The 19035-nt window shown below is 47.1% G+C and overlaps 1 long non-coding RNA gene across 8 annotated transcripts in view; it reads right to left on the bottom strand.

Moving 5' to 3' along the window:
• The window catches only part of LOC105373592 (uncharacterized), a 530486-nt gene extending 513461 nt beyond the window's left edge, over positions 1-17025 (bottom strand). For all 8 annotated transcript variants that reach the window (XR_001739684.2, XR_007087222.1, XR_923281.3 and 5 more), the window contains exon 1: positions 16489-17025. This is a non-coding gene — a long non-coding RNA (uncharacterized LOC105373592). The remainder of the gene's footprint in view (positions 1-16488) is intronic.
• Positions 17026-19035: the final 2010 nt, after the last annotated feature.

Genomic DNA, 19035 nt, shown 5'->3' with positions numbered 1-19035 from the left:
TGTCATGGAGCAAATGTGAGTTCAGAGAATAAAGAGTAATGATTGGGTTCCTCTTAGTTTCTTCTAATTCTGCCCACGAGCAGCTCGTAGCTGATCTCTTCTCCAACACCACAGCTGAAGATAACACCTGAGGATGGCATCTTCCCCTTAGATATGGCCCTGGGCTGGGCTTCTCCATGGGCAGCATGTTCTACCGAAAGCATGGTATGATTGGAAAGATGACTTTATAAAAACCTCCTGGCTAAGAACTCCTCCCTCATGTCCCCACCAAAGGGCTACCATTATGGCTTTATTTCTTTGGCCCAATTCTGGGCTCTTTTAGAATGTCACCATTTCAGGAGCAATGACATTAGGAGCTCTTGCTACCACCAAGTGTAGGGCAGCAATTATGAGGCCAGGCTCTAAAGCCAGGTTTGGAGATTCAAATCCTGGCTCTGCCATGTAACTGGTTCTGTGACCTTGGGAAGGTCATTTATCTTCTTCTTGAGTCCAATACCTCAGCTGAGAAATGAGGACAATCATCATCCTCTTTCCTCCCTGGCTTGTTGGAAGTGTTAGATGAGGTGATGTGGAAGTTGGTTAGCACAGTGACCAATATCTAGTAAGCAATCAGTGAATGTTTGCTATCATTAATCTTGGATGCTCGAATGTTAATTAGTCTATCAGCTGTGTTCTTACAGGGTGATAGACATTTCGATATGGTTGGCTTTAAATTAACTGACCAAAGAGTCAGCAATTCCAGCCTCTCCCAGTTGTCACCCATCTTTTCACTAATGTCACCCACTCTCCTGCTGATGTCACCCTCCCTCACCCCAAGGTCAGCCACCTCACCACAATGTCCCCATTCCCCTCCAGTTCTTAGGGTGCCTGAGTCCCATACAGAAGGTGAAGCAGCTTCTCCTGGTCTCAAGCTTAGGGCCTGCCCTTGGCTTTAACTGGAAACTGAAATGTAAGTTGTTGAAAAAACTAGTCCAGGATACTTGGCTGAGGGCAAGGTAAATATAGCTGAAATCCTATCCCTCCAGTGGCTGTAAATTTGATTTAACCAAAAAAGCATGGGCTGAGGATTTAATGAAAGCCCATCCCCAGCTTGGAAAGAAGCAGAGTAAAAAGAGAGTGGTTATTGACATTTTCACTGCCGGGCAGGAGATGCATGTCTGGCCCCAGTGAGTGAGTCAGGGAATCCATCAGCATTGGAAAATGAATGAGGCGCCCATCAATCTCACCCCAATCTCACTCCCAACTAAAACAGAGCTGGGCCACACCACTCCTCAAGCTGTTTGCCAGCCAAGCGCCACTGCTCTGCTCCTAGACTTATGGAGCCAATAAGGACACAGCAGGGCTGGAATTTGGTTGGAAATCTCCAAAAGGCATCTATTCTGTCCCCTCTCTGATACGATCAGCCTTTGAGACTCGAAGTTGAATCTCCCTAACACATAGGTGAATGGGTGTGTCCTCTGCAAATCATCTGAAGATAACAGGAATTCCCCTCCCCCACCAAACTACTCCCCCCACCATTGGAAAGCCATGGCCTTGAGTTATCTTCAGGCAGACTACCTTCTTTTTCCTCTTTTTAAAGATATAAATATTCTGGAATTGGTCATGAAATAAAATGTCATCAAATATTAGTGGCAGAGGGTGAATTGGTTTCTCCAGTTTCTTACTCCATGGGGATGAGTCAAAAGCTTGTTGTTGGGGAAGAAGTTTGGTATTACATGGTGTGGTAGAGGTGATCACAGCCCAGAAAGGACCATGCTCCCACTCCACAGTCAGGCTGCTACTGGGGAGCCTACCAGGGACTGCACTTCCCAGCTTCCCCTGCATTTGGAATTAAACATCTTGCAGTGGAATGGGGGTGACAGTGATAGGTGTTCCAGGCTGACCTGGTAAAGCATTAGGTGCAGGATTCTCCATGCCCCTTCCCTGGGTGACTCCAGGTCGACCTTGTGCAGCACAAGATGGCAACGCCATGACATGGAGCAGCTTGGGTCCGTGAGTCACCCCTTGGAAGATAGCTGCCTGCATGGGATGGACTGTGCCAATGAGATTTGGGGTGGTTTGTACAGCAGTTAGCACCACTCAGCTGAGAGGAGAGGCGCGGACAGAGCTCAGGCCTGTGGTGGTGCTGTCACAGACATGGCTGTGGGGAGTAGAGACATGAATGAGAATGATGGGCACTTTATGGGGAACGAGGGAGGGCAGAAATGCACGCAAGCTACTCCCGCTACAGCCAAGCGTTCCCAGACTGCAGCCACCCTGATTAAGTCACGTGAGGTCATTTGACAAGCACAAGAAAAAAGAATCCATTACTCTAAATACAAGTTGTTTTGTCAGAAAAAACTTTTTTCTGTATTTGGTTGGGAGTAATGAGGTGTTTTAAATTTTTACTTTGGTTTTGATTTGGCTCTCACTAGGACTGAAAAGCCATTCCAAATAAGGTATTGCTTTTCCCTAAGCTTCCCTGCACACGTGGACATGTAACTCCTTAAAAAAGCTACCCTAAATCCACGTGCATACTAATGCACTCATTTCCATGGTTTTTTGAACCTCCACACTTAGATTTGGATCAGGTGGCAAAGTGAGGTCATTGATGATAAGTATCTTACACCTTGAGTGCCCTGCCCCTAGATCATGCTATGGGACAGTCACTGGCTGCCAGGCTGGGGTCTAGGAACTAAGTCAGTAAGTGTCTGCTGAATACATAAATGAAATACTATTCAATATCTTTCCACTTCTTAGTTAATCAGTCAATCTATTTTCCAAGTAGCTTCTATGCCAGTACAATTCCCCAGCCCCCATTCTCTATAAATGCTTGGCGAGGGGCTGGGGGACAGGGCATAAAAATAGAAACCATTTCAAACAAAAGTCTCCCACATCATAGTTTGGATTAAGGGTTAGCCCAGGTCTGAGCCAGCTCATGCATTCCACCAAAAATTTCTGCCACAAGCTATCTCAGGATAATATCTACAGGTGAATGAACTTGTTTCTTTCTCCATTTAAGAAAGTCCCCATTACTAATTCTCCAATACTCTGAGTGAAATTTACACAGACACAGACACACACACACACACACACACACACACACACACACTTGGGTTGAACAATACTGAATACTCTAACAATCAGTGTTCTGGGAGGCAAACAACTCCAGCTAACTTAAGCAGAAAAGAAATTCGTTTGTAGTGCATTGGCTGGCTCACAGATTCAATTGAAATTACCTGGGAATCAGGTTCAGAAAAGAGAAAAAAGCTAAGGAAAATAAGGTGTTGAGAAGATCACACTGTGAGAACAGCCTTCTTAGCACCACAGCTATAGTCTGAATGTTTGTGTCCCCCTAAAATTCATATGCTAAAACCTAATCCCCAATGTGATGATATGAGGAGATGGGACCTTTGCAGGGTAATTACAGGCCCTCATGAATGGGATTAGTGCCCTTATTAAAGAGCTTGGAGAGCTGCCTTGTGTCTTCCACCACATGAGAACATGGTTAGAAAGCACCATCTATGAACGAGGAAAAGAGCCCCCACCAGACACCAAATCTGTTGGTACCTTGATCTTGGACTTCCCAGCCTCCAGAACTGTGAGAAATAAATTTCTGTTGTTTATAAGCTACCCGGCCTCTGGGATTTTGTTACAGCAGTCAAAGCAGACTAAAACACATACCATCACTGACACCATTGTCACTGGACTGCAGTCTCTATCTCAGCCTGTGCAGCTCTGTTACTCACGTTTCAAAGTCCTAGGCAGAAACATCCAATTGACGTAGGATAGGTCATAAGCCTGCACCCCAGCTTCCAAGAAACCAGGGTAGGTGATAACCATCCCCCCTCATTTTCTGAAGTGAGTTATTTGGAAACTAGTCAGCCAAAAGTAATGGACAGCCTGTTGCAGTCCATCTCTTCAGCTCCCCAACATTTTCTCACACTAGTCTTCCCATAATGGGAACTTTCTAAAAGTGTTCCTAACATAGCACAACTATCCTTTAATATGCTGAAAGTGCTCTCAACTCTCCTCAAGGTGAGGCACCCATATTACATCAGCTAGCCCAGATTTCTAGACCATGTCCATTCCACTTAATATATTTTAATGAATTTCTTTTCATTGTTGCCACTCTATCTTGATATTCTATATCCTAGGTAACAAATTATAAAACAACCACCATCAACACTAGAGACAACAATGAAAGGAAATTCATTAAAATATATTAATGTATACATTAAAAGACATGAAAGAATACAGTAGCCATCCATGCTTCTGAAAACATGGCAGTTATGTCTCCCAAACTGCATCGCTCAATACATGTTCTCTCGCATAGTCCCTCGCACCTACTATGCAGCTATTGACCTGAAGAATGCCTTTTCCTCTATTTCAATAAGCAGAAAATCAAAACAAAATTTTCAAACCCAAAGCAGTTTGCTTCATCTGATAAAGACAACAACACACTTTTACCGTCTTTCTTTGGGACTATTTTATAGCGTCAGCTCTATGCCATACTTACTCCACAGGAGTATTTCCTATATCACCATTATCCTACAGGATGTTATACTCACCCACAATACTAATGACGCCAGGCTTATGGAATATAGAAATCAGAAGGCTGCAGCCATACTGGATGATTATGTAACACACAAAGGGTCAGAGATAAACACCATGAAAATATTTAGGTGTGTCATCTCAATACAGTTTCCAGGGTCCAGTGGTCTAGAATACCGATTTCCATCCCCATGAGTCTGGAACATGCCAGTTTTGAAGTTTTCATATTGAAGGGAGGGATGATTTACCAGAAGACACAACAACTGTTCCACTGAATTGTAGCAGAGGCTGCTACCTGAATCTTTCTTGTTTCACATGCCTGAAACAGGCAAAATTGGAAGCTAGAATGTTAGCTGGTATGATTGATACTCTTAAGGGGAATTAATGCTGCTCTACCCAATGAGGGCAAGAAGGTGTATGGGATAAACTACAGTGGCCATTAGAGGGCTTCCTGGTGTTTCCATGTGTGCGAGGTACTGTAATAGACCCATGTGTCCTAATTCCCAGAACCCATAAATATGTTAGGTTACATGGCAAAGGAGCATTAAGGTTGCTAATTAGATTACCTTAAAATAGGGAAATAATGCTAGATTATCCTGTGACACCCAATTATAGTTACATCATTAGGTTTAAAATAATTCGGTCTTTGTTTTAAGCCATATTTACATTCCACACCAGTCAAACTTGATAGAAATCATGATTTTTGTGGTGGCGCTAATCTTTGAAATTCCCCTGGAATGTAGTATTACTTTGGATTACCATTTAGTAGTGAAGAGCCACACACTAAAGAGAATCAAGATAGTTACCAAATTATGGCTAGCGTGTAGTTAGAGCAGTATTCAGAATGTTCTGACCCACATGGATCTTTGGGGGCTGGTTAATTTTAGAGACTCTAGAATTGAAACAGGTAGGCAGCTCACTAATATTCTACTTGATCTATAAAATAAACAAAACAAATATCCCCTATAGATCTAGTGATCAAGTCATGGTCCTTCTGTTACAGCAGTCAGAGCAGGGAAAAGCCATTCCAAATAAGGTATTGCTTATCCCTAAGCTTCCCTGCACACGTGGACATGTAACTCCTTAAAAAAGGACTTTATTTTACCCTTTCTCCCATAATATCCTTGACTTCATGGATCAGAAAGACAAGATGGGGATTCTAGCAACTGCTGAGTATATATATGTGTGTGTGTGTGTGTGTGTGTGTGTGTGTGTGTATGTTTTAACTTTAAACTCACAATATGAAGAAATAATCTCAGGATGTAGTTTATTATAAAGAAAACTCAGGCTGAAATCAACAACCTGACTCCTGTAAGCTCTCAGTAAAACCACTAGACTAGCATGACATTCTGTCCCTTGAGAATTTAGACTTATTTCAGAACTAGTGTTCAGTAATCCCCAAAAGAACTTGCTTTTTCCCTGCCCCCAGTACCTGGTTACTTTAGTAAATAGACACAGTCCTTTTGCAAAAGATTTGAGAAAGACTCACAGTATATATTTGTGATGACATTGCAGGCTCCCTCCTCAAGGGAACCTGTCTTTCCTTCGATCCAAAGAGCTCTGGGTCTGGCAGCTGACTTAGATTTAGGTATTAGGGAAGGACCATGACTTGATCACTAGATCTATAGGGGATATTTGTTTTGTTTATTTTTTTAGATCAAGTAGAATATTAATGGGTTGCCTACCTATTTCAATTCTAGAGTCTCTAAAATTAACCAGCCCCCAAAGATCCATGTAGGTCAGAACATTCTGATTACTGCTCTAACTACACGCTAGCCATAATTTGGTAACCATCTTGATTCTCTTTAGTGTGGATCTTCAGCCTCTATTGTTCCAGAATTGTCTCACCCAGATTGAAACCAGGGAGCCCCTTCCAACTACAGTGTCTCCTACCAGCATACAGAGCAATCCCAGTACCATACTTCTCAAAGATGCTGATCCTTCCTCTCGGCACAGATGTCTCTCTTAATGCCTTAAAGAAGAGTGAGGCGGGCAGATCACTTGAGGTCAGGAGTTCGAGACCAGCCTGGCCAACATAGTGAAACCCTGCCTCTACTAAAAATACAAAAATTAGCTGGGCATGGAGGCACGTGCCCATAATCCCAGCTACTCAGGAGGCTGATGCAGGAGAATCACTTGAACCCGGGAGGTGGAGGTTGCAGTGAGCCAAGATCATGCCACTGCACTCCAGCCTGGGTGACAGAGCAAGACTTTATCTCCAAAAAAAAAAAAAAGGAAAGCAATGTCTAGGCCCTCCTGAGGGGCACATTCGGAACCACTCTTAGACCTAGGCAACCAGGTTTACTGTGCCAGGCTCTATACCATAGGGGGGCCTGCTGTGATCCTCCTCTTACTGTGCCCCTTTCCACAGGGTGAAGTCTCTCATAAGGTTACAATAGTCAACTGTCAGTCATGGCTGCCATTTCAACTGAAAAGTCAACTGGAGTGATGGATGGGGTGGATCTGCTCCCAAGCTCACACACATGGTTGTTGGCAGGTCTTGATCCCTCACTACATGGACACAGAGAGTGGCTCACAACATGCCAGCTTGAGTCTCTCAACCAAGGGATCTCAGAGAGGGAGAGAGAGCCCCCAAGAGAGAAGTCACCGTGTTTTTATAGCCTAATCTCAGAGGCGACATTATGTCTGCTGTACTCTATTCATTAAAAGGACTTCACTAAATCCAGCCCACACCCAAGGAGAAGGGATTACACAAGAATGTGAATATCAGAAGGCTGGTATTGGTGCAACCTTAAAGGCTACTTAACACAGCTTCCTTAGTAGGGCTCAGAAATACTCCCAAGTAGGAAGGGCCTTGTGTAGGCAACAAAACAATAAATGTCCACTACAAGTACTTAGGTAAATTAAGTACCCAAAGATTAAAGGAACCAGGATAGACTCTGAAAAAAAAATAAGGTAATGGGTCACAGGGCAATTTTAGAAGTTCTTCTCCCATTTTCGGTTCATTTTTGCCTAGTTCCTAAGGCATATGTGCAAGCCCGGCCATTTGTGTGTGCAGAATAGACAATGTCCACATGGTGTGATTCAACAGACACAAAGAAAGTCTGTCTCCTGGGACCCAGGAAAGCCTCATCCCCAAATCCCATGCTGTCACTCTCTTTTTCTTACATTTTGTACATTGCAAAATGAGATTTTTTCTTTTTTTTTTTTTTTTAGCATAAAGCTTCTTGATGTAAGGCAAACATCTCTGAGGCTTTTAATATGGGAAAGTTTTATCAGTCACTAGTACCTTGGTACGAATTTGGTGGCTCAGGTCTTTTCTAGAACATTCTTTCTTTGATTGCAAAAGGAGAGTATAGGAAAAAAGAAATACCAGGAGGATCCCTAGAGATTATCATGAGGTGGTGATTCTGTCCAAGAGAAGAGAAGGTGCATTGAGCGGAGACGGGTATAAAGCCATCCTTCATTTTCTTCATCATTTAGCCCACAATTTTCAGTCAGCAACAAACAATGACATTGTACTGATGCACAGTCCTTGTTTTATCTGGCACTTCATTCTATGACACCCGAGTGAGGGAAGCATTGTGTCCGCTATTTAATAGAGGAGGTTAAGTGACTTGCCCAATGTCACAGCTACTTTGCTATTTTGCAGCAGAGTCAGAATTACTATCAAAGGAAGTGGATTCCAACATCAGTGTTCTTTCTACTACATCTTCCAGCCCAAGGAAGCAGGATAATGGCAAGGTGGGGGGCAGGGGAGTGAGGGCGGGTTTTCAGAGTGATCTTTAGAAAAACGCACTCTTGACAAGGAGAGCTGTCACTCCTTGTGACTCTGACAACACAAATAAAACACCCCTACTTGAATGGATGGCAAACAGTTTTGCAGGCATTAGGGGTTTTTAATCCAATCTTGAGCACTCAGATTTTGATTAGATAGGACATTTGGGGAAAAGGTAGTTTATGTTGAGTGGGAAGCCGTATTGTTCTGTGCTTAAAGTATGCACACTCTGGGAGGGAGCTTTAGAATATTATGGCTCTGAAAGAAACACTTTCATCCTGGCAGTGGTATTTTCAAATCTAAAACCACTTCATCATTTTCAATGGCCCATCCAGACACAGCCAAAGACAAGGCTGATACCCAGGCTGATGTTATGCTAAGTGTTGGATGGCCCTTTAAGTCCTCGTTTTTGTCTTCTATCTCAAACTTGAGAGTAAGGGACCTAAAAACCAGGGTGAACAAATGTTTTCTGTGAAGGGCTAGTTAGCAAATATTTTGGACTTTATGGGCCAGACATCTCTGTCACAAGTATTCAGCTCTGCCACTCTAGGGCTAAAGCAGTGACGGGCCATAGGTAAACAAACAGGTGTGGCCAGGGCTGGCTGTGAACTTGCAGGACCCCGAGAGTTGAGTGCCTCCTTAATTTGTTAAACCCTGGACACCTTGCTTGTCTCACCTTAATCCCAGGCCTGAGCAGGACTGTATCATAATAAAATCTTGTTTACAAAAGCAGTAGGCATCCTAACAGCCAAAAAGCAGAAGCAATCCAAGTGTCTATCAACTGAGGAATGGATGAACAGAATGTGGTCTATCCATACAATGGAATGTTATTTGGTCATAAGAAGGAATGAGATACTGGCACATGCTAGAGCATGGAAAAAACCTAGAAAGTGGTGTGCTAAAAACAAGAAGTCAGTTACAAAAAACCCGGTATTATATGATTCCACTCATTCAAATGGTATGCCCAGAACAGGGAAGTCTATAAAGACAGACAGTGCATCTGTAGTTACTTGCTGAGGAGGGGCAGAATGAGGAGACATTAAGGGGTAGGGATGGTAGCTAAAGGACTTCTTTTCGACGTGATGAAAATGTTCTAAAATTGACTGTGGCAATGGTTGTACATCTCTGTGAATACACTAAAAATGACTGAATTGTTCACCTATAATGGGTAAATGTCACGGTGTGTGATTTGCATATCAATAAACTGTTTAGGGAAAAAAGAAAACAAGTAGTACACAGGTCAGATTTGGCCCATTCTCCAGAGTTTGCTGACCCGGCTCCAGTGTAATTTTTTTAATGTATCTTCTTTCATCTTCCAGGTAAACCTGTGAGGCAGATATTATTTTGGCTCTGAATGATGAGGTAATTTGCCCGGGTCACTCAGCTAGCAAGGGGAGGGCCAGAGTGCCTTCCGAGCACATCTGTGCTACTGGGCTCATCACTCAGATGAGAAGCCTCCACTTTTATCTCCTCCAGAGTGTGTGGCCCAGAGCTCTGTGCCTGGAGAAGACACCATCAACTGTTGATTTGATTTGTACTTAGAGAAGAAAAACAGTGTAATGATTAAGAGCACAGACTCTGGAGTGAGACTGCCTGGATTCAAATTCCAGCTCATTGCTACTGCATGATCCTGAGCAAATCAGCTTTTCCTCTCTGTCTCAGTTTTCTCATCTGTAAAATGGGGATAACAAGAGCTCCTACCTCACAGGATTCTTGTGAGAAGTTAATGAATTATATATGAGAACAGTGACACAGATTTGCTATATTATTATTTATAAGCTACGCTTCTCACAGGTATTGATGCTCCTGCAAGGAGTGCAATCTGTTCTAATGATGGACATTTCAGGAATCAACAACAGGTCAGCAGGAAAAATTGGGGGGAAAGGGGAGATGCTTGGCCCTCATCAAATCACACCATAAGCAGGTCTTGCTGCTCAACTAAACTTCACGACATCCCCAGGCCTCCAGCTCTCCCAAGTGCACAGGACATTTGGGAAAATTAATGGATGGAGGAGTTTGACTTAGCTGCCTGGACCTGCTGTGATGGGAGGGGGTGTGGGGCGTACCCCGGGCCTCAGCCACTCAGCACCATCCGGAAGCGCCTCATGTTCCATTTAGCTTATAATAGCAGATATGAAAATTTTATCAGGTTTTCTGCCTTACTCTTGTGAAATATTAAACATCAATAAATTATTAAGCTGAATGTAAAATACTACAAATGTTCCTAGATTTCAAAAGGCACTTCAGAAGCACGTTGGTTACAGGGCTATTTTGGGCAAAGCAAACCTGCCCCAGTAAGGAGGTATCTTTTTTCTTCTCCCATTATCTGTGTTCCTTCATAGGGAAGTGTCTATTCTGGGATTCACGCTCTACAAGTAAGCCCCAAAGAAGCTTCTGCACAGGTAGCCACTTGACGCGTTCTAGGAGGAGTGTGGGCAGGATCTGGAATCTGCACCCGGGAGGAGGGAAGAGAGCTGCAGGCCTGGGGCCCAAACTTTGAAAAAAATGACAGTGTTAGGTGTTCCTTCTCTCCATCTTGGAAGCGGGAGTGCATCTTGGGCACGGGTTGTGGCCAAAAAGGTTTCTGATGGCCCAGGAATGTGTGTCTAGTGGACAAGGAGGTGCTGAATGGAGTCTGTTTCCCTAGGAGGCTAAGGAGGTTCCTGAGAAAGACCCAGCCGGATGTGAACCAGCGAACCTGACAAATCAGTGGGGTGCCCAAAGGACGATGCCTGTTGCCAAGGAACTGAGGAGCCTCCCTGAAAACAGCTCACCCTGAGAAGAAGGCACTAAGCCCCAGTCTTTGGTTGCAAAAAGGAATCCTGAGCCCAGCACTGCAGCTGCTTCTCTGGTCCTCCCACAGCCCAGCCTCCTGCACCTGCATCTGGCTCAGGACAGAGGGACAGCTCCGAGAGAAACCAAAAGGAGACACCTCACTGGTGCACAAGCCACTCAGCTCAGGTCTCCATTACAGGGCGTCCCAGAAAGGGGAGAGAGGGCTTTCCTGCTTTGTTACAAATTGCCACACAGCTCAGCATGCAGAGGCAAGTCAGCCACGACGGAAACATGACACAGGACAGCATGGGGTGACAGTGAGGCCCAGACAGCAGCAGCAGGCACAAAGGCTTTCAGCACGTAGCAGGGAGCCGTGGGGGCAGAAAGACGCGGTGCCTACAGCGCCTGGCAGAGCTCCCAGGATGGAGCTGCTCCCTCGAGACCCAAGGCTGTGCCTTCCTCATGCCTGCCCAGGAAGGCTGGTCCCAGCCAGACTGCCCCTTACTCCTCCACCCCACCTTCGCCTCTGCCTCTCTCTGTTTCAACACTGTCTCTGTGTATGGGTGTGTGTGTGTGTGTGTGTGTGTCCATTTATATAATTTATTTCATAAATCAATTTAGCATTTTACCCAAGGAAGACAGGTGTAACAATTAGGAATAATTTTGTCTACCCGTAACAGAAACCTGACCAGCTGTGGCTTAGCACACCAGGACAGCTCCCGTTTACCTCACACAGCCTGGTGGTAGCGGGTGCAAGGTTGATCCCGGGTCACTGAAGATCCAGCCTCCCTACTCTTGCAGCACTGTCTGCATTCTTTAGTGTACTTGCTCTTTCTCCTTCATGCTACCCCTCTAGGTGTTACATCTCCCGGGGAAACATCAAGCAAAGAAAACCTGACTATAGGGACTTAGAAAAGCAGGGCTTGTTTTCCTCATCACAGGAAGTCCAGAGGTAAGCAGATGCCCATGGGATTTCAACTACTCAGCAGCACTGGCGCCTCCTGTGCCTCCACACCACAATCTTTGGTGAATGGGCCTCTGGCATCACTTGCCAGTTCTTGGTGACAAGATGGCTGCCACAGCCCCAGACATCACACCTGCCTTCAAGGTAGGAGAGGGGAGATGGGCAAAGCCAGCTGCAGCTGCATATGTCTCCTTTTATCAGAAAAGCAAAAGGTACATTTGCTGGTGAGGCTTATCTCTCTCTCTGCAGCCTAGGCCTCTGCCTTGTGAGCCAAATCCACACATCCAGCTGTCTCCTGGGCATCTCTCAGACCCCCATACGTACGTGAAAAGACTGGGAGACCTGGGTTTAAGACTGAGCCATGCCACTGGCTGAGACCTAGGAAAAGACACTTAATCCTTCGGAATCTAGGTTTCTATCTAACTTTGGGAATACTGCTCCCTGAAGACCTCCCATAGAGTTACTGTGAGGATGAAATCAGACAATGCAGGTAAAGGTGCTTTGAAATTGCAAAGCATGGCAACATTTCCTCGTGTGTTCCAAGAATAACAAAAACAAAAAATGTGCACTGCCAGGTGCGGTGGCTCATGCCTGTAATCCCAGCACTTTGGGAGGCCGAGGCAGGCAGATCACTTGAGGTCAGGAGTTTGAGACCAGCCCAACCAACATGGCAAAACCCCGTCTCTACTAAATATACAAAAATTAGCCAGGCATGGTGGCAGGCGCCTGTAATCCCAGCTACTCGTGAGGCTGAGGCATGAGAATCACTTGAACCTGGGAGGCGGAGGCTGCGGTGAGCTGAGGTCACACCATTGCACTCCAGCCTGGACGACAAGAGTGACTTCGTCTCCAAAAAAAAAAAAAAAATTGAAAATAGAACCACCATATGATAGTCAGAGACATGGGCACTCCCATGTTTACTGTAGCACTATTCACAGTAGCCAAGATTTAGAAGCCCATCTATGGAAGAATGTGGTACATATATACAACAGAATACTATTCAGTGGAGACTGGCTGAAGGGAGAGCTGTCTGAAGAGGGTTCTGGAAAGCCTTGGAGGCAAGCAGCTGCCAGCTCCTCCGAGCCTCGAGCCTCGGTATGTTGAAAGGCAGCGGCAGGGTGGGGCGGGGAGTGGGGGAGCGGGGGGGTGGGGGCGGTGGCGCGGGTGCAGCTACAATCTGCTCCACGCAGCTCGGCAGGGCTTCTGGGCACAGGGAGAGACCCCTGGGCAGGCCCCATTCTGTATTCAGATGACACAGGAATACCAGCTCCTGGGGAAATTAAAAAGTATTCATTCTTTTTAAATGTTATGGCCATATTTAGGAAATCCTGGCTGCAGTGATGCAAGCCTGGTCTCACTAGACAGAACTTCTCAGCACCAACCTATTCTGGGCCTGAGCGCAGCATGCCATGTGCGGTGTTTCCACCTCGCTCAACCCGAGCATATTTTGAAGGTTGGTTTGGTTTGATTTCTCTGCCAAATGTATCTCAGGATTGATATTCCACCAAAAACCATTTGGAAATCGCAGCACCCTTCGACATGATCATGACGGCATTCTCTCACCAGTCCCAGCTTTAAAAACCTGTTGGATTCAACTAAGAGTCATGTGGCCAGGCTCCAGCCTCGGAGGAGTCCCCGGTCTTCCCACATTCCCATCTTTGTTCAGACAATCACATAGGTTAGCTGGTGTGACTTGTGTCTGTTTTAGGTGATTTGCCCCAGGCTCTGTCTCCTCCAAGATGGTCCCAGCTCCACCATCCTGCTGGGTCCCGCAAAGAGAAGTGAGGATCCCAGAGCCCACTTGACCATTTTTCTAAGAACCTGGCTGAAGCATTCCAGCTGGAGAATGCACTGCCGTCTGCACCACCTCGTCTCTTGCCTCAAGCCCTGGATTCACTCAACAAAAAGCCCACCTCATCCCCCAAACCTGCTGCCCCCCTGCCAACCTCTCACCAAAACAATTTTCACAACCTGTGACATGGTATTAATGCCACCACTCTCCCCTCTTGCCTTGCCCCAGCCACCTGCAGATCCCCGTAAGGGAGGCACCCATGACCTGGTGAAAACTGTGGCAGCATCGTCCAACGGTAGCATCGTACCTTGTGCGGCTGGGTATACCAGGGTATACCAGGGAGGAGCCCAGCATGCCCCTGTTGACCCCAGGTCCCCCTCCTTCTCGTCTACCATGGACTGACCCAGCCCATATGCCCTGCCTCAGAGATGCTAGGAGTCTATATGATACCTCTGCACAAAGTCAAAAGGTTCCCCTTCACAGACACTTCATTTCTATTCATTTTTAAATTCTCACCATTTTCTGATTTTTATTAAAATGAGACACTTCACTTCTACTTCCCAGAATTGTCATACTAGACCTATACAATCTATGGTTTCTATGATATAAACAATGCTCTCTTAAATGTATCCTTGGGCAGTGCACAGCCTGCACAACTGTACACAGAGGCCCTGCCCAGCCTTCTGCCTACTGCTAAAGTTACCCAGAAGCCTGTCCCCTTCCCTCTGATTCTAGTCATTGACAAGGCAACCACATACACACACACACACACACACACACACCCACAAAGAAATATGAGCAGACTGCCTGCCTGAGTCCAGAACCACCTGTCACTTGGATGTTTTCCTTGCCAAGCTGAACCAGCCCCAGAGCATCCAAGGATGCCTCGGGAAGGCATCCTTGCTTCCCCAGGGAGTAGACACTAATGGATACCTAATTCAATGGCTCTCACATTATAAAGTGGTGGCTAATAAAAAGCATTTATAGAACATTCATTGGAGAACTTTACATCCGCACTCCACCCATAAAAGCTTGATCATCTCCAAAGGTTACACATTCACGTGGGTCAGAGAGGCTGGCCAGGACCTGCTCCAAACTCATACCCAGAGCATCCAACCGCAGTCAAATATAGTTCCACTCAAAGTGGCATGACTAATTTCTCCCTCTCACTGCCCTCGGGTTTGAGCCGTGTGCTGTGCCCTGGCTGCCCTCAAGCCCGGGCCCGGTGTTCTGCAGTTTGTCTCCAGCTGGTGTGCAGAGGGCACACCTTCCTGCTCAAGGTCAGGGTCGTCTATGCTGCCTTTGTTCGGACCAGCCCTGTGCTAACCATCCAGCATGGCTTAGCTCATGAACCAGCTTGATCCTGTGCAGTGAGTCCTGTTAACATCCCCATTTTCTGGAAGAGAAAACTGAGACTCAACAGAGGTGAAGCAACCTGCTCAAAGTCCCACAGAGTCTGGCCCCTAAGCACTGCAATCGATCTAAAGCAATCATGTAGGTTAGCTGGTGTGACTTGTGTCTAACGTTTTAGGTGATTTGCCCCAGGCTCTGCCTCCTCCAAGATGGTCCCAGCTCCACCATCCTGCTGGGTCCCACAAAGAGAAGTGAGGATCCCAGAGCCCACTTGACCATTTTTCTAAGAACCTGGCTGAAGCATTCCAGCCGGAGAACTGTGCTTATCCATCCTGGGACCAGCTAGAGGCAGGGATGACCTTCGGCTGCATGCCCTCCAGAGAGCCCTGGCAGCCTTGGGCCACCCGAGGAATGAGTGGGGTGCCACACACCCGCATGACAGGCTGCAGAACACACCAGCAGTGGGGTGGGCCCACTATCCACCTCCACCACGCAAGTCTTCCTTCCTACCCTGGACATTCAAGGTGAAAGCCAGTCATCTTCTCCAGCTCCCAGAACTGGGCCAGCATCAAGTGGGAGGGAGGGAGGAGACAGGGTGAAAGGATGAAATTAAGAAACTGAGGCTCAAAGGGTTGTGGTTTTTTTGCCCAAAGCCTCAGAATTCCTTAGAAACCTGGTTGTGACTAAAAGTCCTGCAGACTACTCCCCAGCCCATCCCTTCCTCAGCACCTCCAATTCCTGTAGGAGCCCCAAGTCCCCTGCAGAATAAAGCCTCGTGCCCCATGCCCTTCTACGCACAGCAGCCTAGCACTAAAGCAAACTGCTTGCAGCTGCCACGCACCAGCAGTGACTTTCCCTCCTGCTCTCCTATACGAAGGATAACTGCCTACTTTGCTTCTATGCTCTCACATTTCTTCCTCCAGAAAGCCTTCCCCAAACCCTGAGGTCGCAAAAACTATCCCTTCCCCTGTGCTCCTGGTGCCGAGTGCATACCCTGCCCGGTCCCTCACCACATTCCTAGACGTCTGCCCGGCTCTGGCTCCCTCAGCGGGTCAGGCTCCAGGAGGGGAGGGGCTAGGGTGTTCAGCATCGCATGTTCCTGGCGCCCGGCATAACAGCTGGCACCCAGACACTGAGGGAAAGCAGCAACACCCTTTGGACTTGGGTGTGGAAAGCCTCAGTGCACCTGGCCGGGAAGATGGCTGAAAGGGACAGAAGGAAGGGTGGAGGCACCAGCAGCTGCCCCCCTTCCCATCTCTCTGTTTCTCCTAACCCCATTCACCACCTTCCTTCAACCTTCTCCCATCTCACAGAGGTAATTCTAAGTGATACCTTTTGGATGAGTTCCAACTCTGTTCCCACGGCAGTGCTCCATCCACGGGAGCCGCAGCATCGGCAGGGGCTGCTTTTGCACAGCAAAGCCCCCTTGGGGAGTACTGCACACTGTCCCCAAGAGAGCCCCTGGGCCAAGAGGAAGGCGCCGCCTGGGGTTGTGGTGGTTCAACAACGCCGTTACGCCCGGGACTCAGGGTCAGGCCAGGGGGCCTGGACAAGAGAGGAAGCAGTGACCCTGTTCACCCACGGGAGGGAGAAGGCAGCCTTGGGCCACTTCAGGAACCAAGCCAGGAGGATGGGGAAGTTCCGGTGAGGCTGTTCACTCATCAGAAGAAAGAATGTTCTAGAAATCAGAACGTTCTCACTGAGGGAAGACTCTTCTAGAGACATCAGTTCTGTGAGAGCAGGGGCTGTCGTGTGGGCCTCAACTCTATCCTCCGCGGTTAGAACTGTGAGCAGCGTACTGTGAATACTCCGTTGATAGCTGCCAAATGAGTGCGTGGGTGGATGGTGGAACCCAGACGATGAGCTGGTGTCGAAGGACCCCTGTGGGACCCGTATGTATGCTAAGGCAGGGGTGGCTGAAGCAGTGCCCTCTAAGGAGCATCTCCAGTTCAGGACGCCAGGACCCCTCACCGGCCCAGGGAAGCTGGGAAAAACTCCCCAGGAGCGGCCCCTTCCCGCTTTGTTTCCGCGAGGTCTGGGCTGTCTAGCCCAGTGCCTGTTCAAGAAGCGCCCCCCAGTGTCTGATGCTTCTTCATTCCAGATCACATCCAGCTGAGCTAATCGGGTCTCGAGGCTTGATTTTGAGATCATTCTGAGTCTGTTTTGTAGGCAGTGCAAATTGTAACTCCAACGGGTTTCTTGGCCAAGCCTGATGGTGCTAAAATAGTGTAAGAAATGGGGGCTTAGTTTATAATTCTAATTATTGGAATCAAAACTTCTAAGCAGTTCTTACCCTATAAACTTCACTTCCCAGAGCTAGATCCTAATATTTTAACTGATTCTAAATGTTCAACTTGGAAGTTTCTGAAGCTGGATTGTAAAGTTGGCTGATTGGTGAACAATCGTGGCACCCATCCTGGCACCTGGTGACCCTCATTACCTGCTGCCTGGTGACCCGCTGGGGGAATGAAAACACATATTACTGTCTACACAGTGTTGTCATGAGTGGTGGGGTGCCCAGAAGCCCCCCAGAGCCTCCAGAACTGTGATAAATACTTTTCTGTTGTTTCAAAATTACCCAGTCTATGATATTTTGTGATAGACACCCAAACAGACTTAAGACACCTATATATTACATGAGGGGCAAAACCAAGAGGACTATGCAGACAGCAGATCTGCTAGGGGCCTTGGGACCCCATCTGGTTCAACCCACAAAAAGCAACGTGGAGTCTGGATTTGGGAAGACAGAGGCTCCCAGAGCACATGCTGTCCCCTACACACTAGCTGTATAACCCTGGTCAGGTTTCTTTATGTTTCCCAAACCTCAAGTTGCTCATCAGTTAATGCAGATAATCCTTAACTGCTGCATGGGATGGTGGTGAGAATGTAACAGGTGAAATGTCTCTCCTGGAGTGGATGTTCAGTAGTGGCAGTTATTATTCCAAGTGAGGTGTTGAGCTTGTGTCAGACCCATCAGCACAAGGTCACAGGGCCGTCTCCTATTCAGGTGCAGGCCAGAGTCTCAGAGCCTAGGAATCTGGCCCTGGAACTCAGCCTCAGTCCCCCGCTTTTCCTCAAGGAGTGACAATTTGACAACTCCTCCAGCGTTGCCCCTTCTCCCGCCCCTCTTCACCCCTCTGCTTCTAGAAGTTCAGGGAGGTTGCCTGTACCCATGTTGCTCAGGGCATGCTGGGAGCCCCTCATCACAGCCTCTGCCACAGCAGGTAAACGCCTTGATGAGATTTGATTTCCTATTAGGCAAGCCCAATGGGGTGAAGAGAAATTCCAGGTCTTCCCACAGTCCCCTTAGAAGCACTCGCTTCATCAAGCCAACCAAGATTAAGCAATTTACATTTTTTTTAAATCTATGCAAAAGAGGCATTGCCTAAATCAGTGCTTTGTCCAATTAAAAAAACACTTCACGGCCATCGTTTCCAGCAGGGCTCTTATGAGGCGTAGCAGAGCCTGGCTCTGTGTGAGAGCAGAGGTGATGGAGCTGACATTTCAATTAGCTTCATCTTACTTGGGGAATTTATACCTTTCTCTGGCATAATTACATCTTCAGCTTATCCTCAAGTCCTCCTGCCCTTGAAAGTCACTCTCCAGCCTCACCTCCTCCTCCAGGAAGCCTTCCCTGGTCCCCCGCCCCTGGGCCCCCTCTCTCTTCTAACTTCCTAACTTCAGCACACCCTGTTACGCCACTCTTTCGGCCCCTGCTTGAAGTTTCTGTCGTGGCCTCCAAGACAAGCCAGCTCTAAATCCACATATTCGTATAAGGCCGTCGATGTGAGCAGACGGGGCTCCTACCTTCACAGGGTATGCAGAGAAAAGTCATGAACAGCAGCTGAGGTCTGCAAAGCCCCCAGTTCCTAATGGAGA

Source organism: Homo sapiens, chromosome 2, assembly GCF_000001405.40.
Source record: "Homo sapiens chromosome 2, GRCh38.p14 Primary Assembly".
Taxonomy (NCBI): domain Eukaryota; kingdom Metazoa; phylum Chordata; class Mammalia; order Primates; family Hominidae; genus Homo; species Homo sapiens.
Note: the sequence above shows the minus strand (reverse complement) of the source record. Positions and strands in the feature narration are given on the sequence as shown.